At 42.3% G+C, this 26965-nt stretch overlaps 1 pseudogene, besides 1 other annotated feature; it reads left to right on the top strand.

Moving 5' to 3' along the window:
* Positions 3156-3262, top strand: RNU6-566P (RNA, U6 small nuclear 566, pseudogene; annotated as a pseudogene).
* Positions 22444-23317: an enhancer, noted in NCBI's record as "OCT4-NANOG-H3K27ac-H3K4me1 hESC enhancer chr2:44361873-44362746 (GRCh37/hg19 assembly coordinates)". NCBI's record gives its function as "activates a minimal SCP1, AML or CMV promoter by ChIP-STARR-seq in naive H9 embryonic stem cells {active_cell/tissue: H9 hESC(naive)}" and the evidence as "EXISTENCE:reporter gene assay evidence [ECO:0000049][PMID:30033119]".

The following is a 26965-nucleotide window of genomic DNA, read 5'->3' as shown; positions in this document are numbered from 1 at the left end:
GAAAATGCTATAAGATTATAGAAAAGAACAACTTAAATTAAAGCAATGTGTCTTATAATTTCCCAACACTTCAACAGAACTCAACACCAACTGGAAGCTAGTAATCAGACATAAGAGAAATATTTTTAAGCAAATTTCCTACCAATTAACAACCTGAACCACCTTCTGCAATCCTGCTAGTTTGCTCACTATAGCCCCCTCTCTCCCTCCTCTATCATCTCTGCTGATCACAACAGATTACAGGATCTCCTCTCTCTTTCCTGAGCTACAGTAGTAATGTTTTTGTGCTGTGCAATTTTATACTTAATTATATACTGTTTTGTGCTAGTCTCTAATTGTATTAGGTATGTTATGTAGTCTCTTCTCAACTAGACTGTAGTCCCAGAGGCTAGGACCATGTATCATACTTCTGTTATGGCTTTTTATGCTAAACATGGTAGGCACCCATTCATATCTTGTTGATTATTTATGGGGAAAATCCAGAAAGAGCAATTGCTTTTGTACAACTATGGCTAGAGCTCAAAGCAAATGACTTCATTTCTGTGTGGGGTAGAAAGGACTCTCACTAGGCCAGATACGGTGGCTCATGCCTGTAATCCCAGCACTTTGGGAGGCTAAGGCGGGCGGGTGGATTGCCTGAGGTCAGGAGTTCGAGACCAGTCTGGCCAACATGGTGAAACCCCGTCTCTGCTAAAAATACAAAAAAATTAGCCAGGCATGGTGACGTGCACCTGTAATCCCAGGGAGGCTGAGGCAGGGGAATTGCTTGAACCAGGGAGGTGGAGGTTGCAGTGAGCCGAGATTGCACCACTGTACACCAGCCTGGGCGACAGAGCGAGGCTCCATCTAAAAAAAAAAAAGGACCCTCACTAGGCATTGATGTTTTCAAATTAATTCAGATCCTCTGGTTACAGTGAGCATAAATCTAATTAAGTTGGTTTAGCTACATAGGCATCTGTAATAAACAGACAGGAGGATTTCATAGAACCCAACTACAGGTTGGTAATTAAGACTGCATGTCTCTGCAACTGGGAACTGGGAGGTCAGAAACCAGTCTCTTTTTCTAAAAGCTGACATAGTCTCTCTTCTCTCCATTTCTCTGTCCAGCTGCTTCTGCCTCACGCATAGACGGAGGCTGGTTTCTCTCCTCTGTATGTGTATCAGCATGGCTACTCCAGCATCCACTTTCTACCTTACCCAAGACCCATGGGTAACTGACCCAGCCTTTACATCCCATTTCCAAATTTCTGGCAGAAAAAATATAATTGGCCTATAATGGGTTACATATTAATCCCTGGCCCAATCAGCCATCACCTGGATAGCAAGGCCTTTGCCATCTGATAGGCTTTAAGGGTTGTGGAAACAACCCTCAAAGTACAGAAAAGACACAGAAGCCAGGCAACTTGATCGATGCAACTACTACAGTTAAAGTCTGGAGAAAAAACTTTTGTGGGTGTATTCCCAGATAATAACCCCCTTCCTCTGAAAATTTTACCCACTGCCCAGTGGGATGGGTCTCCTACAGACACATTGGTACTAAATGACACTGGAGGTCTGGTCATTTGACCAGACCACAGTGGTCACTCTTCCTAAGTCAGACCAAACTATTTTTTTTTTCCCCTGGGAAATTTGATTTGAGACCAAGAAAATGTCCATCAGGCTAAGCTTGTCTTTTGAGAGGAAATGCTGTCAACTCAGAGAGCTTTCAGGCCACCTTTCCCCATTCTGTGCCCAGGGAAGGAGAGAGAGCCAGTTAGTTGTGAGAGAAGAATGAAGCAGAGAGACTTAAAGGGGTAGGGCTGAGAGAAAGGAGCCAGCTCTGCCTGGATTCTCCAAGGCTGAGAGTTTCTGATTCCAGAAGCCCTTGAGTTTTGTGAGATATCTCCACATTCTTTCTTTGCTTAAATTAGCTTGAGTTGATTTCCGTTATTTGCAACCAAAATAGTTGTAACTGAGACATCCAGATTAAAAGTAAGAAAAAGGCTTCCTACACTTGTCCACTGAGACAAGTCAGTTGTATCAAGATGCCACTATTTCATGGCCATGAAAAGTTTCTAAATTTATCTGTAGACTCACATATCTGCATGGCTATACAGTACATCTGTTGGTGACTCATGAGGATTAAATAGTATGGGAGGCCTTTGTTACCTGATTCTTAATTGGATGTTAGATTATTTCTTTTCTTTTTAAAAATGCAGCTGTGAGGGCTGAGTGTGGTGGCTCATGCCTGTAATCCCGGCCCTTTGGAAAGCCAATGCGAGAGGATAGCTTGAGCCCAGAAGTTCGAGACCAGCCTAGGCAAGACTGGGAGATCCTACCTCTAAAAAAATAAAAAATTAGCCAGATGTGGTGGTGCACATTTACAGTCCCAGCTACTCGGAAGGCTAAGGTGGGAGGATCACTTGAGCTCGGGAGGTGGAAGTTGCAGTAAGCTCTGATAGTGCCACCACACTCCAGCCTAGGTGACACAGAGAGATCCTGTCTCAAAACAAAAAAAAAAGCAGCTGTGCTTGGGATAGATGATTTCTTGAGAGAACAAATTGTGAAGGAAAAATGGCCTTGAATTTTTTGTCATTTAATATATGTATTATTATATGTGATGTTTGTTTTAGATTTTTTTGGCATGACTACTCATAAACAAATATTTTAGTTTTCAAAGCACATTTGTACACATTCTCTCATTTGACCTTCACAATAGTCCTCTAAGAAAGTATTGTGATATCATTCCTATTTCATAAATGAAGAAACTGAGGCTCAGCGACATCAAGTATGATCAAGTGATCAGTGACACTGATCAAGTTTAATGTCATTAATCTAACAAGGATACAACACCGACTCAAAACCAGTGTTGTTTCTGTACTCATATTTCATCTTTGTCTTCTTATAGCAGGGGTTTTAAGATGGTTCTGGTTTTTGTTTTCCCTTTAGAAACTATTTTTTTCTATTGAAGTATAAAATGGATACCAAAAAGTGCACAAATCATAAGTGTATAAAGCTCAATGAATTATCACAAAGTGTACACACCATGTAACCACCAACAAGGCATGAAATTGGTCATGACTGGCACCCCAGAACTCCCCTTCTGCCCCCTCCCAATAGCTATTCTCTCCTTCTTCCCCAAAGGAAATCACCTTCTTGATTTTTAATATCATAGATTTGCCTGTTTACAAACTTTATATAAATGGAATCATGCATACAGAGAAGAGTAGCATGGCCCCTGTGCAAGAATGACATGCAAATTTATGAAGCATTCATTAAAAAATAAATAAATATATATATAAATAAATAAATGGAATCATGCATTATGGATACTTTTGTGTTCAACTTCTTTTATTCATGTGAGATTTGCTTGCATTTAAGTGGTTAACAGTACATTAATTTCTATTCCTACATTGTATTCCATTTTATGAATACAGTATGATGTATGCATCCATTCTATTATCTATAAATACTTGAACTGTTTCCAGTTTGGGGCTATAATGAATGATACTGCTATGGTCATTCATGAATATATCTTTTAGTACACCACATATATGCCCTATTAAGTAAGTACCTAGGAATGAAATTGCTAAGTCAAAAGTTCAGACTTAATAGCTACTCCTGGCAGTTTTCCAACGTGGTTAGATCAATTTATGCTTCCACTCCTCTGATATAGAAAAATTTCAGTTGCTCCATATTCTCATCAACACTTGGTGTTTTCTGCTTTTAACTTTAGCCATCCTAGTGAGTGTGTAATGGTATATCTCAGTATAATTTAAACTTGCTTTTCCCTGATTTCTCTTTTTTTTTTTTTTTTTTGAGACGGAGTCTCGCTCTGTCGCCTAGGCTGGAGTGCAATGCCGTGAACTCGGCTCACTGCAAGCTCCACCTCCCAGGTTCACGCCATTCTCCTGTCTCAGCCTCCCGAGTAGCTGGGACTACAGGCGCCCACCACCACGCCCAGCTAATTTTTGTATTTTTAGTAGAGACGGGGTTTCAGCATGTTAGCCAGGATGGTCTCGATCTGCTAACCTCATGATGTGCCTGCCTCGGCCTCCCAAAGTGCTGGGATTACAGGCGTGAGCCACCGCGCCCGGCTGCTTCAGTGTTTATTTTATTTTATTTTATTTTATTTTATTTATATTTATTTATTTATTTATTTATTTATTTATTTATTTATTTATTTATTTATTTTGAGATGGAGTCTTGCTCTGTCGCCCAGGCTGGAGTGCAGTGGCGCAATCTCGGCTCACTGCCAGCTCCGCCTCCCGGGTTCATGCCATTCTCCTGCCTCAGCCTCCTGAGTAACTGGGATTACAGGCGCCCGCCACCATGCCTGGCTAATTTTTTGTATTTTTAGTACAGATGGGGTTTCACCATGTTAGCCAGGATAGTCTCGATCTCCTGACCTAGTGATCCACCCGCCTGGGCCTCCCAAAATGTTAGGATTACAGGCATGAGCCACCGCGCCCGGCTTTTCCCTGATTTCTAATGAGTTTGAGTACATTTTTATGTTCATTGGTCATTTGACTATCCTCTTTTGTGAAGAGCCTATTCAAGATTTTGCCCATTTTTCTACTGGTTTATAGGAATTCTTTATGTATTCTGAACATAAGCTCTTTGTAATATGCATTGTAAATATCTTCTCTTCCTCTGTGGTTTGCATTTTTAGCTTTGAATTTTTGACTTCAAAGAAATGGAGACATCTTATTTGCATTTTTCTACTTCTTTTAAAAACATAATGATTTTGATTACTTGGGATAAAATCCAATGGAACCATATGCTCAAATGGCATTTCTCTCTCTGTTTTAGTCAGGCCCCAAAAGCTGAGACCAATCCATTGGGGACTAGTACTCCCACAGTCACTCTGGACCTGTTAAGATCATAAACACACTTCTGGCTTTCATGAACCCATCATTGACCTTCAAAGTATGAGGAGGTTGAGGTAGAAAGAGCGAGAGTGAGGATTTCTTTAGAAAGTGCTTTCTCCTCCCCTGACTTTCACATGCGGGCAGGGAGAAAGTTGCCTCCTCTCCTCACCTCACGCCAAAGGAAAGGTGCCTCAAGGAGACCTCCCAGAATTTGTCCCCTGGAGTTTCAGGAAGAAAGACTTGGGTCTGATCCTTGCCAAGTATGAAGGTAGAAAAAATGGCCAAAGGTTCACCTGTTCGCAAGGTCACATTGGGTGTAAACTGGACTTTCTTTTCTTTTTTTGTTTTTTGAGACAGAGTCTCACTGTCACCCAGCCTGTAGTGCAGTGGTATGATCTCAGCTGACTACAACCTCTGCCTCCAAGGTTCAAGCAATTCTTCCGCCTTAGCCTCCTGAGTAATGGAGACTACAGGCACCTGCCACCACGCCCAACTAATTTTTGTATTTTTAGTAGAGACAGGGTTTCACCATGTTGGCCAGGCTGGTGGACTTTCATTTATAGTGGGTAAAGGAAAATATTCCCAGGGAACAAAGTGGAATCCACAAAAAGTGCTGGATGTCTCTGTTTTGTTGTTGTTGTTGTTGTTGTTTTTGAGACAGTCTTACTCTTCGCCCAGGCTGGAGTACAGTGGTCCAACCTCTGCTGACTGCAAGCTCCACCTCCCAGATCAAGCGATTCTCCTGTCTCAGCCTCCCGAGTAGCTGGGATTACAGGCATGTGCCACCATGCCTGGCTACTTTTTGTATTTTCAGTAGAGATGGGGTTTCACCATGTTGGCCAGGCTGGTCTCAAACTACTTATCTCAAGTGATTCGCCTGCTTCGGCCTCCTGAAGTACTGGGATTACAGGCGTGAGCCACCACACCCAGCCTCAGTTTGTTGTCTGTTGCTATAATATAATACCACATTGAGTGATTTATAAAGAAAAAAGATTTATTTGGCTCACGGTTCTGGAGGCTGGGAAGTCTGAGGTGGAGAGGCCACATCTGGGGAGGGTCTTGCCATTTTATCCCCTGGCAGAAGGTGAAAGGGCAAGAGAGTTCATGAGACACAGAAAGGGAGCCAAACTCCTGTGATAACGAGCCCACTACTGTCATCTGCATTAATCAACTCATGAGGACTAACGCCTGTTGAAGTTCCCACCTTTCAACACTGTTACACTGGCAATTAAATTTCAACATGAGTACCCGAAACCGGGTAATTGGAAGAAAATGTTTCAACATGAGTTTTGGAGGAGACATGTAAACCATAGCACTCCCCCGGCCCCTCAAACTTCGTGTCCTTCTTATAAACAAAACACTTTCATTCTATCACCAAAGTCCCAAAAGTCTTAACTAATTTCAGCATCAACTCAAAATTCCAAAGAGTCTCATCTAAATTAGATGTGAATGAAAGCCAGGTGTGGTGGCTTACACCTGTAATCCCAGCACTTTGGGAGGCTGAGGCAAGTGCATCACTTGAGCTCAGGAGTGTGAGACCAACCTGGGCAACATGGTGAAACCCTGTCTCTACGAAAAATACAAAAATTAGCTGGGTGTGGTGGCGTGCACCTGTAGTCCCAGGTATGCAGGAGCTGAGGCAGGACAATTGCTTGAGCACGGGAGGTAGAGGTTGCAATGAGCTGAGATGGCACCATTGCACTGCAACCTGGGTGACAAGAGTGAAACCCTGTCTCAATAAATAAATAAATAAAATGAAATAAATTAGATATGAATGAGACTCAAGGCACAATTCATTCTGAGGCAAATTCCCTCCAGCTGTGAGCCTGGGAAATCACAACATTATCTTTTTCCAAAATACAATGGTGCGACACACATAAATACACATTCCCATTCTAGAGGGAAGAAATAGACAAAAAAGGAGGGTTAACTGGTCCTAAGCAAGCACAAAACCCATCAGAAAAAAACAACATTAAGTCTCAAAGAATAATCTCCTTTGACTTCATGTCCCATATTCTGGACACACTGATGTGTGGGTTGGCCCTCAAGACCTCAGGCAGCCCCACCCCTGTGGCTTTCGTGGGCTCAGTCCACTCAGCAGGTCTCACAGGTTGAAGTCTTGTGCTCGTGACTCTCTCAGGCTGGCATTGTACATTTGTAGCTCTACAGTTCTGGGGCCTCATTGGTGGTCCTGCTCCCACAGCTCCACTAGGCATTACTCTAGTGGGGACTCTGCGGTGGCTCAGCCCTATGACAAGTCTCTGCCTGGACCCACAGACTGTCCATGACATCCTTTGGAATCTAGGTGGAGGAAGCTATGCCCTTATAACTCTTGCATTCTATGCATCTGTTGAATGAGCAGCATGTGGATGCTGTCAAGGCTTACCAGTTATAGACTCTGAAGCAGTGGGTGGAGCCACACCTGGGCCCACTTGAGCCGTAGCTGGGGCAGCTGAGGAAGGCTATTGGGATCAGAGACCTGTGGCAGCCGTGGGAAGGAGCTTGCGGAAGGTGTCCCAGGCCTATCCCCTGAAACCTCCTACAGCTCTGGGCCTGTGCTGTAAGGGGCAGCCTTGTAACTCTCTGAGATGCCTTCAGGGTATTTTTCCCACTGTTTTGGTAACTAGCACCTGGCTCCCTTCTATCTACAGTAAGCTCTTTAGCAAATGGTTGCTTGGCCACAGCATTGGTTTGCTCTCCTAAAAAATGCCTTTTCACTCTCTACATGACCAGCCTACAAATTTTCCAAATTTTTCTATTCTGCTTCGCTTTTAAATATAAATTCCTGGCTGCATGCAGTGGCTCACGCCTGTAATTCCAGCACTTTGGGAGGCCGAGGCGAACGGATCACTTGAGGTCAGGAGTTTGAGACCAGCCTGGCCAACCTGACGAAACCCCATCTCTACTAAAAATACAAAAATTAGCTGGACTTGGTGGCATGCGCCTTTAATCCCAGCTGCTTGGGAGGCTGAGGCAGGAGAATCACCTGAACCTGGGAGGCAGAGGTTGCAGTAAGCTGAGATTGTGCAGCTGCACTCCAGCCTGCATGACAGAGAGACTCCATCTCCAAAAAAAAATTATAAATTTAAGTTAATGTCTTTCCTCTTGCATCTCACTGTATGTGACTAAAAGTAGACACATAGCAGCCCAGATGCTTTGCTGTTCAGATATTTTTTCCTGCCAGATATCCTAGTTCATTGCTCTTAAGATCTGCGTTCCATAAAGTTCTTGGACACTAACACAATTTTGCCAAATTTTTGTAACTGCATAACAAGAATGGCCTTTACTTCAGTTTCCATCACCTTCTTCCTCATTTCCGCCTGAGACCTCATCAAAATGGGCTTTACCATTCATATTTCTACCAACGTTCTGATCACAGCCATCGATTAATCTCAAAGAGTTTTCCCTACAGCTCTTCTCCTGAGTCCTCATCAGAATCTCCCTTTATGCTCCATTCACAGCAATCCAGGCTTTTTCTAGTCTGTTCCTCCAAATTCTTCAAGCCTCTACTCATCATCCAGTTCCAAAGACACTTCCAAATTTTCAAGCATTTGTTATAGCAACAGCTCCACTTCTTGGTACCAATTTTTGTAGTCTGTTTTCCACAGCTATAACAGAATACCACAGACTGGGTAATGTATCAGGGAAGGAGATTTATTTGGCTCATGGTTCTAGAGGCTGGGAAGTCCAAGACTGAGGGGCTGCATCTGGTCAAGGTCTTCTTGCTGCATTATCGCTTGTCAGAAGGTGGAAGAGCAAGAGAGTGCAAGAGACAGAGAGAAAAGGGAGCCTGCAAGCCTATAATAACTAATCTACTCCTGTGATAATGGCATTAGTCCATGACCTAATCTGGATTAATGGCAATTACATTTCAACATGAATGTTGGAAGAGACATTCAAACCATTGCACCTGGGATGAACTGAAGAGGAATCTTGCCTCCTCGCTCCTCAAGGAGTGAAGGAACCACCAGAAGCCCAAATTGAGGAAGTCATCAAAAGCTGACAGCCAGAGAAGTGTTGTCTGCATCAGGGAACTGCAGTCAGGGTAGGTGGGGAGAGAGGGGTGACCTGGGAGAGAGAGTCAGCTTTGGGCATTTTCCATTCCCAGAGGGCACTGATGCCAGAGGACACTGCACTAGGTATAAAAGACTGTTTGCCTTTTCCCCTAATCCCCTTTCCCCACTGGTACAGGGTGGAGAGGTCAGAAACAGCAGTTAGCAAGTTCAGGAGGTGGTATGGGAGGAGAGGAGTGGCTGACAAGGCTGCCTCTCCTACCTCTGGCTCTGATGCTCGAGGCAGCCCTGAGCTGGAGAATCAGAGAAGATTTAGCTTTGAACACATTTGGAATTTTGAAACTGCCCTGGACAAAACTGGAGTTATGTGACTATAACCCTGGACTGGACTCTTCTACAAATTCTCTTCTCAGCTGTTTCTATTCTGAGGCTTAATCCATCTATTGAGTTTTCAATTTCAATGATTAAAATTTTCATCTCTAGAAATTCTCTTTGGCTCTTTATCATATTGGCTTAACTATTTTTATAGTCTTTTGTTCCTTGCTCATATTTTGAAACACCCTTTTATTTCTTTAAATATACAAAACAGTAATTTGATGTCGGATCTGACAATTTCAACATCTGAAGTCTTTGCAGATTTGATTTTGCTGTTTAGTGTTTTTTTGTTTGTTTGTTTTGTTTTTTGTTTTTTTGTTTTTTTTTGTTTTTTTGAGACGGAGTTTCGCTCTCTTGTTGCCCAGCCTGGAGTGCAATGGCTCACTGCAATCTCCGCCCCCCAGGTTCAAGAGATTCTCCTGCCTCAGTCTCCCAAGTAGCTGGGATTACAGGCACCTGCCACTACGCCCGGCTAATTTTTGTACTTTTAGTAGAGATGGGGTTTCACCATGTTGGCCAGGCTGGTCTCGAACCCCAGACCTCAGGTGATCCACCTGCCTTGGCCTCCCAAAGTGCTGGGATTACAGGCATGAGCCACCTAGCCCAGCCGATTTTGCTCTTTAGTTTTGGCTATTTCTTGGCTTTGAGTGCCTTATTTCCTTGTGTCATTAGATCTTTCACTGTGAGCTGAATCACTGGCTGTAGCTTTTTTTTTTTTTTTTTTTTTTGAGACAGTCTCGCTCTGTCACCCACACTGGAGTGCAGTGGCGCAATCTCGGCTCACTGCAAGCTCTATCTCCTGGGCTCACGCCATTCTCCTGCCTCAGCCTCCCGAGTAGCTGGGACTACAGGTGCCCGCCACCACGCCCTGGTTAATTTTTTTTGTATTTTTATTAGAGACGGGGTTTCACCATGTTAGCCAGGATGGTCTCAATCTCCTGACCTCGTGATCCGCCCGCCTTGGCCTCGCAAAGTGCTGGGATTACAGGCATGAGCCACTGCGACTGGCCAGCCTTAGCATTTTATTGGCAGGATTTCTTTGAGGTCCAGGTTGAAATTGCAATCCTCTTGCCTATTTACTGAAGGAACTACCAGCCTGGGACCACTTCAAGTTATATGACTCTATTAGTCTGTTTTCACATTGCTATACAGCTGTGAGTCAATTAAACCTCTTTTCTTTATAAATTACCCAGTCTCAGACCTGAGAATATGGCAGACCTGAGACTGGGTAATTTATAAAAAAAGAGGTTTAGTTGACTTGCAGTTCCACGTGGCTGGGGAGGCCTCAGGAAACTTATAGTCATGGCAGGAGGGGAAGCAAGGCACATCTTACATGGTGGCAGGAGGTGGTGGGGGCAGGGGTGGGGAGTGCCACACTTTTAAACCATCAGATCTCATGAGAACTTACTATCATAAGAACAGCATGGGGGAAATCTGCCACCATGATCCAATTACTTCCCACCAGCTGCCTCCCCTGACACATAGGGATTATAATTTGAGATGAGATTTGGGTAGGGACACAGAGCCAAACCATATAAATGATCATTTTAGGTTTTCAAACCTCATAGGGAGCATGCTATTGGACTAAAAATCCACTTGGAGGCCAGTCTGTGGTAGCAAATGCCCAGGGGGGAATTTTTCTATCTTGTTCTCCTTACCCAGAGTCAAGTTCAAGATAAGCAAATTGTTTGCTGTTCACCACTTTTTTTTTTTTTTTTTTCTGAGACGGAGTTTTGCTCTTGCTGCCCAGACTGGAGTGCAATGGCATGATCTCAGTTCACTGTGACCTCTGCCTCCTGGGTTCAAGCGATTATCCTGCCTCAGCCTCCCAAGTAGCTGAGATTACAGGCACCCGCCACCATGTCTGGCTAATTTTTGTATTTTAGTAGAGACAGGGTTTCACTATGTTGGTCAGGCTGGTCTTGAACTCCTGACCTCAGGTGATCCACCCACCTCGGCCTCCCAAAGTGCTGGAATTACAGGCATGAGCCACTGCGCCCAGCCTGCTGTTCACTTCTAAGTGGTAAGTCTATTTCTCTCTGGGATTTGGGGCAGGGAGTTCTCAGCTTTATGGGGATCCTGTAGTAGACTCTCTACTTGGGTAGGCCCTAGGTATTATCTTCTGTCCCCCAAACGCTGTGCAGCCTTCAGAGTAGAAGTTCAAGTTCTCCACAGTTCTTCAGAAACCTTAGGACTAAGCCATCTTTGGTACTCACTTTACCTCTTAAGATTCCTGCTTTCACTTCAGTTTAGGCCTCAGTAGGTTTCCTTGTAACACAGCAGTCAGGAAGACCTTTTAAATATTTAAATATTGCTTTTTGTTCATTTGTTCCAGGAAAAACCCCAAGTGGGGATTTATCAAACCTTTTATAGCCCTTTGACTACTCACCAAACCTGTGTCACTTTTCTCCTGGGCACACATACTTCTGGAAATCTGAAGTAGACCCCTTCATGTTTGAAAGAGACCCAATGACTTTTGTTATCTTGGAGTAACTGGGTATAATGGCTTAGTTTTCACATGGACAGAGTCTGTAAAATATGATAACAAGGCTGGGCGCGGTGGCTCACGCCTGTAATCCCATCACTTTGGGAAGCCGAGGTGGGTGAATGACCTGAAGTAAGGAGTTTGCCACCAGCCTGGCCAACACGGTGAAACCCCATCTCTACTAAAAATACAAAAATTAGCTGGGCATGGTGGCGGGTGCCTGTAATCCCAGCTACTTGGGAGGCTGAGGCAGGAGAATCACTTGAACCCTGGAGGAGGAGGTCGCAGTGAGCTGAGACCGCACCATTGCACTCCATCCTGGGCAACAAAAGCAAAACTCCATCTCGAAAAAAAAATATATATATATATGATGATGAATAGGATTACTTTCATAATGACACATGCTGACCTCAGCTTCATCTAAATATTGATCTCATACTCTTCACAATTCAGTGACTACCTATAGATGCCTTTAACATTTCTAAAGAAACATTACAAAACTAGTGATAATGCTTCTAAATTACTGAAGTTATCTTGCAGAGGAGTGAATTGAGGCCCCAGTGAAATGTAGCATTCATCAACATATATTCAAGTAAAATGTTGTAGCACTCCTCAACATATATTCAATAAATATGTTTAATACAAGTGGAAGTTTGCAGCAGTGAGGTCAAAGAAGGCAAAGAGAGTAGAGAACATCTGCCTGGGAATGTAGGGTGACTGCAACTCCTCTAGCATCTGCAGTCCCTTAACAGCACTGCAGATAACTCCAAGTGGGGATTTATTTTTATTTTTGTAGAGACGGGGTCTTGCTATGTTGCCCAGGCTGGAATTGAACTCCTGGGCTCAAGCAGTCCTCCTCCCTTGGTCTCCCTAAGTGCTGAGATTACAAGAATGAGCCACCATGTCTGGCCTACCATAGCTATTACATTAACAAACACACTCAAGTGTCTTAGTCCATTTCTGATGCTATAATAAAATACCTTAGACTGGGTAGTTTATAAACAACAGAAATTTGTTACTCACAGTTCTAGAGGCTGGGAAGTCCAAGATCAAGGTGCCAGCAAATTTGGTGTCTAATAAGGGCTGCTCTCTGCTTCAAAGATGGTGCCTTCATGGCAGGGCACAGTGGCTCACATCTGTAATTCCAGCACTTTGGGAAGCCAAGGCAGGCAGATCACTTGAGATCAGGAGGTCAAGACCAGCCTGGCCAACATGGCAGAAACCCTGTCTCTACTAAAAATACAAAAATTAGCTGGACGTGGTGGCACGCATCCTATAATCCCAGCTACTCAGGAGGCTGAGGCAGAAGAATCACTTGAACCCAGGAGGCTGAGGTTGCAGTGAGCAAAGATCACACCACTGCACTCCAGCCTGGGCAACAGCGTGAGACTCTGTCTCAAAAAATAAAAATAAATAAATAAATAAAACTTATCTGGGGAACAATTTAAAATTTTTGAATACATATTAGATAATACTACTTTATTAACGCACAATTTTTTTGTGTGAGATAATAATATTGTGGTTATATAGTAAAATGTTCTAATTCTTAGGAGATATATACTCGGTGCTTAGGGGTAAAGTTTCATGATATCTTTAACTTACTTTCAAGTGATTTAACAAAAAAATACAGATAGTTAGAGGCAGATAGATAAGCAAATGCTATAAAAGTTAATGATAGGTGAGTCTAGGTGAATGGTATATCAGTACTCGTTGTATTATTGTTTTCAACTTTTTATAGATTTGGCATTTTTCAAAATAAAAAATTTGGAAGGCCAGGCGCAGTGGTTTATACCTGTAATCCCAGCGCTTTGGGATGCCAAGGTGGGAGGATCACTTGAGACCAGGAATTCAAGAGTTTGAGACAAGTCTGAGCAACATAGCAAGATCCTGTCTCTACAAAAGTGAAAAAATAAGACCAGGCGTGATGGCTCACACCTGTAATCCCAGCACTCTGGGAGGCCAAGGAGGGCGGATCACAAGGTCAGGAGATCGAGACCATCCTGGCTAACACAGTGAAACCCCGTTTCTGCTAAAAATATAAAAAATTAGCCTGGCGTGGTGGCAGGCGCCTGTAGTTCCAGCTACTGAGGAGGCTGAGGCAGGAGAATGGTGTGAACCCACGAGGCGGAACTGGCAGTGAGCCGAGATTGCGCCACTGCACTCCAGCCTGGGGGACAGAGCAAGACTCGTCTCAAAAAAAAAAAGTGAAAAAATAAAGTTATCTAGGTGTGGTGGTGCACGCCTGTAGTCCCAGCTGCTAGGTAGGCTGAGGCAGGAGAGTCTCTTGAGGCCAGAAGTTCATGATTATAGTGAGCTATGATTGTACCACTGCACTCGAGCCTGGGAGACCTAAAAAAGGAAAAGAGAAAACAAAACAAAAAATACTTTGGAAAGTTTGTGAAAATCTGTCATGCTTCTGAATTGCGCCTTGGAATTTACACTGAAGAGACAAGCAATGAATTACACAGTGATGGGAAACTACCACATTAAATGTTTATGTCATTCTCTTACAAAGCTTGTGATTTTTTTTGTAGGTGTGGTATTATTCAATTAAAAGCTGTAAAAAACAGAGAGAGAGAGAAAAAATTACCAAAGGTCACATAGCTTACTGGTGGCAGAGCTGAGATAGAAACTCTCATGCTCACACTCCCTTCCTTTATGGAGAGGTAAAAAGCCTCAGGCTTGTTATGCTCCGAAATCAAATAACCTACTTCCCAATTTTGCAGAGGGTCGACCTTAAAAATAATTTTGAAACAATTCTTAAATACTAAAGATGGTCACAGAAAAAAAAGGAAAAGAATGCTTTAAAAACACTGTTCCATTGAGCCAAGCTTGAAAATATGTTTGAGATTTATAAGAGGATTTGAGGATTTAATAAAACCGTGATTTAAAAACAAGAGAACAAGAGGCTCTTTGATATGGATTTAACAAGACTTTAGGAACAGTTAGGAAAGACTCACTTCCAGGTAGTCTAATTAGTATGAAAAATTTGTGGGGAAAAATTAATCACTGAAGCAAATAATTATTCTGAAAAACAATATGATTTTATAAACATCACTGCCTTACACTGACTGACAGATCTTTGCATTTCTTGCCCAGTGTTTCACAAGTCTGTTCTCAGACCTCTTCTCCTCTTTGCTCTTTCTCAGCCTCTCATATGCTCCCCTTTCCTTATCCAATAACTCAATGCCAATGTCTCCTAAAATCTGTATCTCTGGTGTTAAGCTCTTGCTAGGCTTTGCAAGTACATTTTCAACTGCCTCTGGATATGCGCTAGGGTATCCAGTTGCCATCTTAAAACAAATTCGTCATCCTCCCTTAAGATTTTTTTCTTTTTAAGATGGACTCTCACCCTGTCACCCAGGGTGGAGTGCAGTGGCACCGTCTCAGCTTACTGCAACCTCTGCCTTCCGAGTAGCTGGGAGAATGGGCACGTGCCACCACACCAGGATAATTTTTGTATATTTAGTAGAGATATGGTTTTGCCATGTTGGCCAGGCTGGTGTTGAACTCCTGACCTCAAGTGATCTGCCTGCCTTGGCCTCCCAATGTTCTGGGATTACAGGCATGAGCCATCACACCTGGCCCCCCTTAAGATTTGATTCTCCTTCTAATTTCTCTGTTTCTGTTCGTGACACCATCATCTTCTCAGTTATCAGCTCTAACCCTTAGAATTTTCTTTTTAATCCTGCCTTCTCTCTGCCCTATATGTTTTCAAAATTCTGTGTGTTCTACTTCCATGGTGCCATGCAGGTTTGCTCCATTCTTTCACTTCCTGTTATCTACTCTAATTACCTCTAACCCAGGGTTTTCCCAAGTAGAGTGCAATAGATATTTTGGACAAGATCATTCTTTATTGTGAGAAGCTGTTCCATGCATTGTAGGATGTTTAACAGCATCTTTGACCTCTACCCACTGATAATTGCACCCCCCTCAGTTGTGAAAATCAAATATATCCCCAGACATTGCCAAATATCCCCTGAGGAAAAAAATCTTAATCCCCAGTTGAGAGCTACTGCTCTAACCAAATAATTGCCATAGCCTTCTATTAGAAAGATCTTCCTATTTGTTGGGGTCCTACCACCAAATCATTCCAGACCTTTCTACTGGTTTAGTCTTCTTAATGTTTAGCTCTGATCCTATTATCTCCCTTTAGTGGTTCCCTCCCGTCTACATAGTAATCCACAAATTCCTTTTAAGCATTCCTACTATACGGCCTTAACCTATACCTCAGTCATATTTCCCACTGCTACTCTCTACATTACTTGTTCCAACTTTGTGACCTCTGAAACTTTGCCTATGATATTTATTTATTCCTTATGTATTCATTCAGCAAATATTTATTGAACACTTATTAAATATTAGGTACTATTTTTGGCATTGAAGCTATTAAGTGAGACATGGCTCCTGCCTTCAAGGAGCTTAACATTGAGTGGTAGAAGATTATCAGTGGTCTTGCCAACAGTTGCTATGGCCTGTCTAGCATCCCCATCTACTTTTCTACTTTGGAAAATAATTTCCATAAGATTCATCTAGGACTGACCTTCCCAAACTTCCTCTTCCTACCATTAAAGGGCTGAACGCATAATCCAGGCCTGATCAGTCAAGTACACCATCTTTCTCTGGCTACACTGATTGGTTTGGGGGTGGGAATGGGATCCAAGCCAGGCCAATCAGAATGCAAACCTTGAACTTTTCTGCTGTGCACTAGGGTTACCAAGCTGTTAGAACATGTCTTAGTTGGGTGCAGTGGCTCACACCTGTAATCCCAATACTTTAGGAGGCCATGGCAGAAGGATCACTTGAGGTCAGGAGTTCAAGATCAGCCTGGGCACTATAGTAAGACCTCAACCCTACAGAAAAGAAAAAAAAGGCGAGAGAGAACATGTCTTGGACATTTGGTGGCAATAGTCTCTGCCACATGGGGAGAGAGCCTGTCCTAGGGACAGACAGATATAGTGTATTCTACTGTAATTTTTTGAGCCCTTGGAGCCAGTTATTCCTGAGGTAAATCCCAAAATTACCCCCCGGAATTATTAGTTATTTAAGCCCCAAATTCCTTTCTAAGCAACCCTGCGCTCTCCAAGGGTTTTCTGTCTCAGTGAATGTCACTGCTCTCCATACAACTGGCAAACTAGACCCCGAGGAGTTATCCTGAACACTTGCTTCTTTCTCACCCCCATCTCCAGTCCATCAACAAGTCTCTTTTTTTTGAGATGGAGTCTCACTCTGTCACCCAGGCTGGAGTGCAATGGCAAAATCTTGGCTCACTGCAACCTCTGCCTCCTGGGCTCAAGTGATTCTCCTGCCTCAGCCTCTTGAGTAGCTGAGATTACAGGCACGTGCCACCGTGCCCAGCTAATTTTTGTGTTTTTAGTAGAGATGGGGTTTCACCATTTTGCCCAGGCTGGTCTTGAACTCCTGACCTCAGGTGATACCCCGCCTCGGCCTCCCAAAGTGCTGGGATTATAGGTGTGAGCCAACGTGCCTGGCCCCATCGCCAAGTCTTATCAAAATCCCTCAACCATCCACTTCTTTCATCACCTGCTAGTGAGCTGCTAATCCAAAATCTTCTCATGTATTTTTTGGGAGGCTCCAACACACTGATGTATCTTCATCATCTCTGGACCCTATCCAATCTCCTTTTCCACCAAAGCTAGAGTAATATTTTCAAAATGCAAATCTGATCAAATTATTACCTCCTCCCTTATTACTTTCCCATTCTTCCTATTGTCCATCCTCATTTGGTGCCTCCCTCCCTTTCACTCTCTATGCTCCAGCCACACAGGCTTCTTACAGCCATTTTTTCTCTCTCCAAGTTCCCTCCTAAACAACAGTGTCTACACTAAGTCCTCTGCCAGGAATATTCTCCCCCTTTCATTTCACTAATTAACATATATATATCTTTTAGAAATCAGCTCAAGCATTGCTTCCTCAGAGAAGCTTCCATCCTTTCACTAAATAAAATCCAAAATTCTTACTATGTTTTATGAATTAATTGGGATGAATTAATCAGGACTTACTTTGCAGATAATTGAGGTGACTTTACTAGTAAATGGTAATACATGAAATGGAACATAATCTAAGGAATTAAGTGCTTGCAAAAATATTGGAAGGGATTGTATGCAGATTCTAGGCTGTGCCTCCAGGAAGGAGTCTGCTACAGTCTAAATGTTGGTGTCCCCTCAATATTCATATGTTGGAACCTAATACTCAATGTGATAGTAATAGGATATGGGGCTTTTGGGAAGTGATTAAGTCATGAGGGTTTCCCCTCATAAACTAGATTTAGTGCCCTTATAAAAGAGGCTTGAGAAAGCTTTCTTGCCCATTCCATCATATGAGGGCACAGTGTTCGTCTCTTCTGCCATGTGAGGACACCACAACAAAGTGCCATCTTTGAAGCACATAAAAAAAGGAAGTCACATGAGCAATGGTATAGATATTACAAATCTCTACCTTCACCACCTTCCTGGTACTTTCATCTCTACCTTCTGTAATCCCACTCTTTCCCTCTTCACAGTTCTCAGTGAGAAAAATACAAGGGTAAGATCAAGACTGGGAATTCACAAGGAGTGCCCCAAATAGGTCCAAGAGGGGAGAGTTGGGAAAACTGAGTTGAGGGCAAGGAAAAGTGAAGACCAGAAGTAGGTTGCAAAGTTATAGGGGTGAGCACTGATCCAAAGTCAGGCAAACAGCAGTTCCAGAAACAGAGCTAAAGGGCAGATAACACATTAATGATGTTCTATATAAAGAATCCTACAGGCCAGGCACCGTGGCTCACACCTGTAATCCCAACACTTTGGGAGGCGAAGGCGGGCGGATCACCTGAGGTCAGGATTTTGAGACCAGCCTGGCCAACATGGTGAAACCCCGTCTCTACTAAAAATACAAAAAAAAAAAAAAAAAAAAAAAATAGCCAGGCCTGGTAGCGGGCACCTGTAATCCCAGCTACTCAGGAGGCTGAGGCAGGAGAATCGCTTGAACCCAGGAGGTGGCGGTTGCAGTGAGCCGAGATAGAGACACTGCACTCTAGCCTGGGCGACAGAATGAGACTCTGTCTCCAAAAAAAAAAAAAAAAAAAAAAAGAGAATCCTACAAATCATTAAGAAATAGACAAATCATAAGCGAGAGAAAGCAAATGATACAAATAGGCATTTCACAGAATAAGAACAAGTGACCAAAAAATACAAAAAATTCTAAATCATGAATAATCAAAGAAATGAAAATTTAAAAAATTAGGAGATACTATTGGTTTTTCCAATTGGCAACAATGAAAATAAATAAGATCGAGCAATGGCGATAAGGGAAACTACTCTGTTCGTACACAATTTATGGGTGTGTAATTTGACAGATGGTTTCAAATGCTCGGCCTTGGAAACTAAAATAAGGAAATGCTCCTCCAAGGACATACAGTAGCATGGTTTAAAATAGCTGAAGATTGGAAATAACCTTAATATCTGTTAATATTGAATGGTTAAGTAAATCAAAGTACATTTGTCTTATTGGATACCACATAGCCATAAAGAATGAAATTTATCTATATTGAAGCTGTCCTCACAGGGTTAACAAGAATTCTGGACAGAAATATAGTTATAATTAAGCATTAATGAGGCTGCAAGTTGGCCCACATCCTTGTAAAATCATGTAGCACTAGATACTGATGATTTGGATCCCCATTGCTCCAATAGATAAGATGTCTGATGTTGGAATCATAAGGTTTTTGTTTGAAAACTGCTTAGGGCCGGGTACAGTGGCTCATGCCTGTAATCCTAGCACTTTGGGAGGCCAAGGCGGGTGGATCAGTTGAGACCAGGAGTTCAAGACCAGCCTGGGCAACATGGCAAAACCCCATCTCTACTAAAAATACACACAGTAGCCAGGCGTGGTGGCATATGCCTGTAGTCCCATCTACTCAGGAGGCTGAGGCATGAGAATCACTTGAACCTGCAAGACAGAGATTGCAGTGAGCTGAGATTGCATCACTGCACTCCAGCCTAAATGACAAAGACTCTCAAAAAAAAAAAAAAAAAAAAAGAGAGAAAGAAAGAAGGAAAAAAAAAACTACTTAGAATGTGTTTCAGATTCTGAAATCCACTGGAACAGCTGATACCAACCAGTTTGAAGACCCCCATAGAGATACTAAATCAGCATGAGAATACAGTTTCTTCATTTCCCTGTTCCATGACTTTACCCTGCATTCTTCAACCAATGAATGATCTCCACAGTTTGGCCAATTCCAAAACCCTTAAGATCCCTAGCTCCAAACTCCCTGGGGAGATGGATTTGAGGTTTCCTCCTATCTCCTTGTTTGGTGGCCCTGTGAGTAAACCATTTCCTCTGCTGCAACCTGGTGTCTCAGCGTATTGACTTGCCACGCATTGGGCAATGAACCTATTACAGTTACAATATCATCTCACATGGAACTATATCAATGATATATTGCTAGGTCTTTAAAGCAAATTGCTATGTGTAGTATGATCCAGGTGGAGTGGGGAACTGGACTTATATGTCTAGAAGGATGCACATCAAACTGTTAATAGTTACCCCTAGAACCTGGGGTTTAAAAAAGACCTGTTTTAAGAATAAAGTACAAAGGAAGGGGAAAAACTATAAAAACTTGTTTCTATTTTTAATTAGATCTCTGTGAGAGATTTGTTACTTAGATGAAACAATTACTCCTTTTTATAACACTAGCGCTCAGTGTTAAAAATTAAAATTTAAAAATAAAATGAATTGTAAACACTTTCTTAAGAATAAAAATGTCATTTTGAGAATAATCTAGTTATACAGCAATAATTAATATGAATTCCTTTGTCAGAATTTAAATAACAGCTAACATGTTTTTGAGTGCTTACTGTATGCCAGGCACTGTACCAAGCATATGCTGTTTCACCCAATTTTTACAACCCTACAGAGTGAGCACTATTCATAATTCAGCATTTTAGAGATGAGAAAACTGCGGCTAAGAAGAGCTGATGAGAAAATTTAGACTGGGGACAGTTCAGCGTAACATCTAATTGATTGGCACACAGTTACATTGTTGGTGAATCACAGCGAGAATTTGAAGGCAAGGGTTTTCATTCCAGAGTCCACATTCTTGACCACCATGCTGCAATTATTCTCTATTACTTAGAGAAAACAGAGAGGATTAATGTCATGATTGAAACTACCTGGCATCAATATCACAGCTGCCAGAAAAGCTCAGCTCATCCTGTGTTGAGAGAAATATAATTAAAAACAAAGTCTTCTCCCAACCCAGAAAACCTCTCCGTAAAGGTAGAAGAGAAAGACAATGATTTTATTATCGAAAAAGCATTAAACCAGAATGTGATGCACAATACAGGAAACCTGCTAAAGGGTTTGCAAAGTTAGAAAGGAATTTGACTCTTTTTATAGCTAAGTGGATACAAACTCTCTTAGTCTGTTCTCTGCTGCAGTAATAGAATATCAGAGACTGGATAATTGGAAAGTAAAGACATTTCTTTCTCACAGTTCTGGAGGCCAGAAAACCCAAGAACATGGTACTGGGATCTGGCAAGGGCCTTTGTGCTGCGTTATCTCACCAGGGAAGGTAGAAGGGCAAGCAAGCACGAGAGACAGAGAGGGAATGGGAGCCAAACTTTATCCTTTCATTAGGAACACACTCCTGCAATAACGCATCGATCCACTAACGAAGGAAGGCAGAGCCCACATGATCCAACCACCTCTTAAAGGTCTCTCATCTTAATACTGTCACAATGGCTATTAAGTTTCAACATGAGTTTTGGAGGAAACATTCGAACCATAGCCCAATCCATGCAAACTGTTAGATAGGTTTTGCAATTTGGAATCAGGTGACAATGTAGGCAGGTCCATCATTTCCCACAAAACTAAAAGATGGGAGTGGCATCAGGTGGTGCGTTATCTTCTTAAATGATAACATTTCAAAGCGATGACTCCCAACTCCTTGAGGAAACATTCCTGAGTTGTGAGACTGGCCAGTGGCTTATTTAGCCATTAAAATAATTTACATACTTTTGACAAGGACAGAGAAATAAACTCCAAAAGAAAAGGAAGAAGTGAGAGAAAATACTCTTCCCTTATTTTTCTACCGAAGGAAATTTTGCATTTGCCCTTACATTTCATCTAGCATGAAAGATCAGTCAATATTCTCAGACTTGCATCATACACTATTTTTTCCCTGTATTTATTTATGTCTAATTTTATGTTGCTTTGTAAATTTTTGCAAGTCATTTTCTTGGACTGATATAAACTCTATTTATATAAACTTGTAATTCCTTTGCCAAGAAGAAGGACGTAGAAAATCTTATGAAATGATTACAGCTTTCAGCTCCAAGAACGTAGGAGCAAAATGTGAAGTTGTTGGAGTTCAATCCATTGACAACCAGAGCAGAGTCAGGCAAGAGAAATGGTCTGGGGCCCAAAGACAACACATGAGTCTGCCTTTTGGAAGTTATGAGCAATTCTGTCCCAAAGAATTTGTGAGCAGAGAATATATTTAAGTCTACCTTAGCAGTAGTTCCCAGGCAAGTTAGATAGATAAACCTTTAAATACAGTTTAGAAAATTACCTACTCAACTATTTTTTTTTATACTCAACTCATGTGGCTCAGGACACTACAGCCCAACAAATGTAGAAGACCAGAATATGCCACCCCAAAATATGTCTCTTTAGCATATTGATTATTTTGAGAAACTATAGACATAGTTATCCTTTTGTAAGAGAAATTTACATTTGTAAAGGAAATCTCCATTTGTAAGACTGTCTCCTCTGCACCAGGAAGAAAAGGGTGACTAAATCATGAGAGACTCTTGAACAATGGAGAAGGCATGGATTTAAATCTGCATAATAAATACTACCTTTGTTTAATGTACTTTTCCTGGCCATCTCATTTTTCCCTTCTTTCTTTGTTTCAGAAAAAGGTAATATTTAAGCCTGAAGTTTAAACTTTCTTTGAGATCCACTCTGAAGATTTATTAATTTCTTGGGGTTTGTGCTGCATTCTGCCCCTGGCTCCCACCATGTATCCATGAGGCATGCATGTTAATAAACTTCTGTTTGATTTTCTCTTGGTAATCTGTCTTTTGTTATAGGGACTCCCTGTTAATAATTATGAAAGGTAGAAAGAAAATTATTTTTTCTCCCCTACACAGCTGTAGCTCACACCTGTAATCCCAGCACTTTGGGAGGCTGAGGCAGGAGGATTGCTTGAGGCCAGAAGTTCAAGACTAGCCTGGAACAGAGGGAGATACCACCTCTACAAACAATAAAAACAAAAAAAATTAGCCAAGCATGGTGGTGCTTGCCTGTATTTGCAGGGCTGAGAGAGGAGGATCATTTGAGTTCAGGAGTTCGAGGCTGCAGTGAGGTATGATCACACCACTGCACTCCAGCCTGGGTGACAGAGCAAGGTCCTGTCTGTTTGTTTTGTTTTGTTTGTTAGTTTAAGTCATTTACAAAGCTAACTGATATATAATGAAAGAAGTAAAATTAGGAGGCTGAAGGAAATAAAAATATTTTCCCCCCAAATATATTTTGAAATGGCTGCTGCCAAGCCATCCAACTAAGGTAGCCCTCTGAAACTATTTTTCACTGGGAAAATTTGCATCTCTAGAAAGTCTCCATTATTCATCCAGGCCCTCCTTTCTAGGCCTTTCCCAGATCTAGGAGAGATTAACTGAGAATCTGACACCTTTCAAAATCTGAAAAAAAAAAAAAAAAAAAAAAAAAAAAAAAAAGATTTACCATCTATTGTCTCTGAGGGCTGCTACCTAGGAGCCTTCATCTTTATAACAAGACCAACTTGCTGGGCATGGTGGCTCACGCCTGTAATCCCAGCACTTTGGGAGGCTGAGGCGGGCAGATCACGAGGTCAGGAGATCGAGACCATCCTGGCTAACACGGTGAAACCCCGTCTCTACTGAAAACACAAAAAAATTAGCCAGGTGTGGTCGCAGGCACCCATAGTCCCAGCCACTCAGGAGGCTGAGGCGGGAGAATGGTGTGAGCCCGGGAGGCGGACCTTGCAGTGAGCCAAGATTGTGCCACTGCACTCCAGCCTGGGTGACAGAGCGAAACTCTGTCTCAAAAAAAAAAAAAAAAAAAAAAACAACAAAAAAAAACAAGACCAACTTTACTAGCCAAGCCTCTTCCTTTCACCCTCCCATTACCTATCTTGCCACTAAAATCTGTTTTTGGCCACACTCTGAGTCCACATTCTTTCTGTAACTTGAAGATGGTATATGAGCTTCTGTACCTCATTAGCAGGTTGGGTCTTCACTGGGAAGGTTTCTATGTATGTATATACATGTTAAATAAATTTGTGTGCTTTTTCTCCTGTTAATCAGTCTGCCTCATGTTGTTGGCAGTGGCAAATCCATACAGGTCTGCAGCAACCTCAATTCTTGCCTCCTCAGAAGAAATAATTCGTCCAAGGGGCATAACGCAAAGTGAGAGACTGAGGCAAGTTTTAGAGCAGGAGTGAAAGTTTATTAAAAAGTTTTAGAGCAGGAACAAAAGGAGTTAAGCACACTTGGAAGAGGGCCAAGCAGGTGACTTGAGAGATTCAGCTGAGCTGTTTGATTTTTTTTTTTTTTTTTTGAGATGGAGTCTTGCTCTGTTGCCCAGGCTGGACTGCAGTGGCACCATCTCGGCTCACTGCAACCTTTAGCTCCTGGGTTCAAGTGATTCTCCTGCCTTAGCTTCCTGAGCAGCTGGGATTACAGGTGCCTGCCACCACGTGTGGTTAATTTTTGTATTTTTGGTAGAGATAGGGTTTCACCATGTTGGCCAGGCTGGTCTCAAACTCCTGACCTCAAGTGATTCACTTGCCTTGGCCTCCCAAAGTGCTGGGATTACAGGCATGAACCACTGCACCTGGCCACTTTTTGACCTCTGACTTGGGTTTTATACATTGGCATGCTTCCGCGGTCTTACATCTCTTTGTCCCTTATTCTTCCCTTGGGGTGGGCTGTCTGCATGTGCAGTGTGTTTACTGAAATTGCGTGCATGCTCATTTGAGGCATTTTTTCCTTACCGGTCAAGTGTTCCTAGAGGAATGTCATACAGTAGTTAAACTCCACCATTTTGCCTCAGTGCGCATGCTTGAGCCCATTTGCCCAGCTCCTGAGATCTTATCGGGAAGTTGCTGATCACCAGTGTCAGGTATTTTCTATCTATTGGGAGACTGCCTTTCCCTGGGACTGGCTGCAACCAATTATTATTTCAGAGAGACAGCTTAACAACCACCTGACCATCACCTGATGGTCACCTGACATTCCTGGGTAGGGGGTCAGGGAGGCTCTCTACTGCCCTACTCCTCTCTGCCTAACTACCTACTTAATATGTCTGTTATTTTTCAATGAAACTTTAGGGGGCTATGACCTAGGACAGAGACTTGAGATAGTGAATAAGAATAACCTTATAAGTTAACCTTATAGTCTGATTTTAGATTGCAGTTTTAGGGGTCTCCTTTGAAGAGTTAAAATGCAAATATTACTAGCAAGGAACTCACTTTAAGTCCTTATCAATTAAGTGTTCCATAACTTCTTGCTATCAATTAATAATATTAGCAGAGAAGAAAGGTCTCCACGCCACAGGGAGTGGGAGGAAATTACAGTAAATTCAATTCTGGAGGAAAAATAGCCATATTAAAGGAATATAGACTGCCTGCCAAAGATAGGTTTAGTTACCTCTGTTTTGTTGAAGGCCTAACCTAAGAGAGGATGGACTAAACCAGATGATATTTCCAAAGTTAGCTCAAGGCCAAATTTTGTGAGAATGAAGCTCATTTTCTGCCCCTCTCAGAACCCCATGTTGATTTTATGCCTCTCTTCAAAGCCTCTAGAGCCCTCAAACTGCTCCTTCTAGGCCTGCTATCCTGGCTGACTCAAGGTGATGCTCCACTTTAGGGCTATGCAAGACCTGCATTCTCCTACTTCTCATATTCATACTTTTTTTCCCCCTCACATCACAACTTACCTGTCTATTTACTCAGGGATCTGATAAATCAGGAGCTCAAGGAAGCGTCATTTTTTTATCTTTGGCATGTAACATAGGATGGCTGTACAAAGGTGATTTTTTTTTTTGAGATGGAGTCTTGCTCTGTTGCCCAGACTGTAGTGCAAGGGCACAATCTTGGCTCACTGCAAGCTCTGCCTCCTCTGTTCAAGCGATTCTCCTGCCTCAGTCTCCCAAGTAGTTGGGATTACAGGCGCATGCCACCATGCCTGCCTAATTTTTGTATTTTTAGTAGAGATGGGGTTTCACCATGTTGGCCAAGCTGATCTTGAACTCCTGACCTCAAGTGATCCTCCTACCTCAGCCTCCCAAAGTGCTGGGGTTACAGGTGTGAGCCACAGTACCCCGCCCAAAGGTGATTTTTAAGTGAATGCTGGTCTCGAACTCCTGGCTTCAAGCAATCCTCTTGCCTTGGCTTCCTGAAGTGCTGGGATTACCGGCATGAGCAACCATGCCTGGCCCAGTGTTTCTCTATTGATAGCCAATAATTTGGAGGGAGATATTTTGGAGGGAGGATGGGTCTTCTATTCCTCCTGTCTCCTTTTAGGAGAACTTCCATTTGTGCATAAGATTATCTGATTGGGACTAGAGATAACTTTTCCTGGTCACTGCCTGAATGTGGATATAGAAGTAGAAAAAACTTTTCCTCTGAACTCTTGGGTTCCTTACTTGGAATATGCAAATTAAACTGACAAAAGCAGATTAACAGTAGAAAAGGCCTACAAATTTTATTTTATGTGCAAGGGGATTCACAGCAAAGAAGTGAAAACCCAAACAGGTGATTAGACCTGGGGGCTTATATACCATTTTAACAAAGGGCAATAAACTGTGGACAAGTGACTAGACAAAGAAAAAGGGCATTTGGGTTATAGAGAGGTAAACTGTGGGAAAGTGACTAGGAAATGTGTGGTAGATAAGGGTTGTTTAGTAAGGTTTGTTATGCAGATTCAAGTTGTCCCTGGTGATAAGAGTTGTCTCTGGAGTCATTCTCCTCTCCCTTATATGGGAGAGTGGGACACTTTTACAAATGAAAATTTAATGCCCTGCTTTTAGGCAGATAGGGGAAAGGCAAAGAGCTTCTCCTGTTTCTGCTATTTCTCAATTGTGTTGAGCTCAAGTAGTCCTTATGCCAAAGTGGCATATTGAGGTGGCATATTCTGATTCCCTTCAGTGGTATTTAAAACAAAAGAGAGGTATTAAAGCCCCCTTCCCCTACCAAA

Source organism: Homo sapiens, chromosome 2 (genome assembly GCF_000001405.40).
Source record: "Homo sapiens chromosome 2, GRCh38.p14 Primary Assembly".
Classification (NCBI taxonomy): Eukaryota; Metazoa; Chordata; class Mammalia; order Primates; family Hominidae; genus Homo; species Homo sapiens.
Note: the sequence above shows the minus strand (reverse complement) of the source record. Positions and strands in the feature narration are given on the sequence as shown.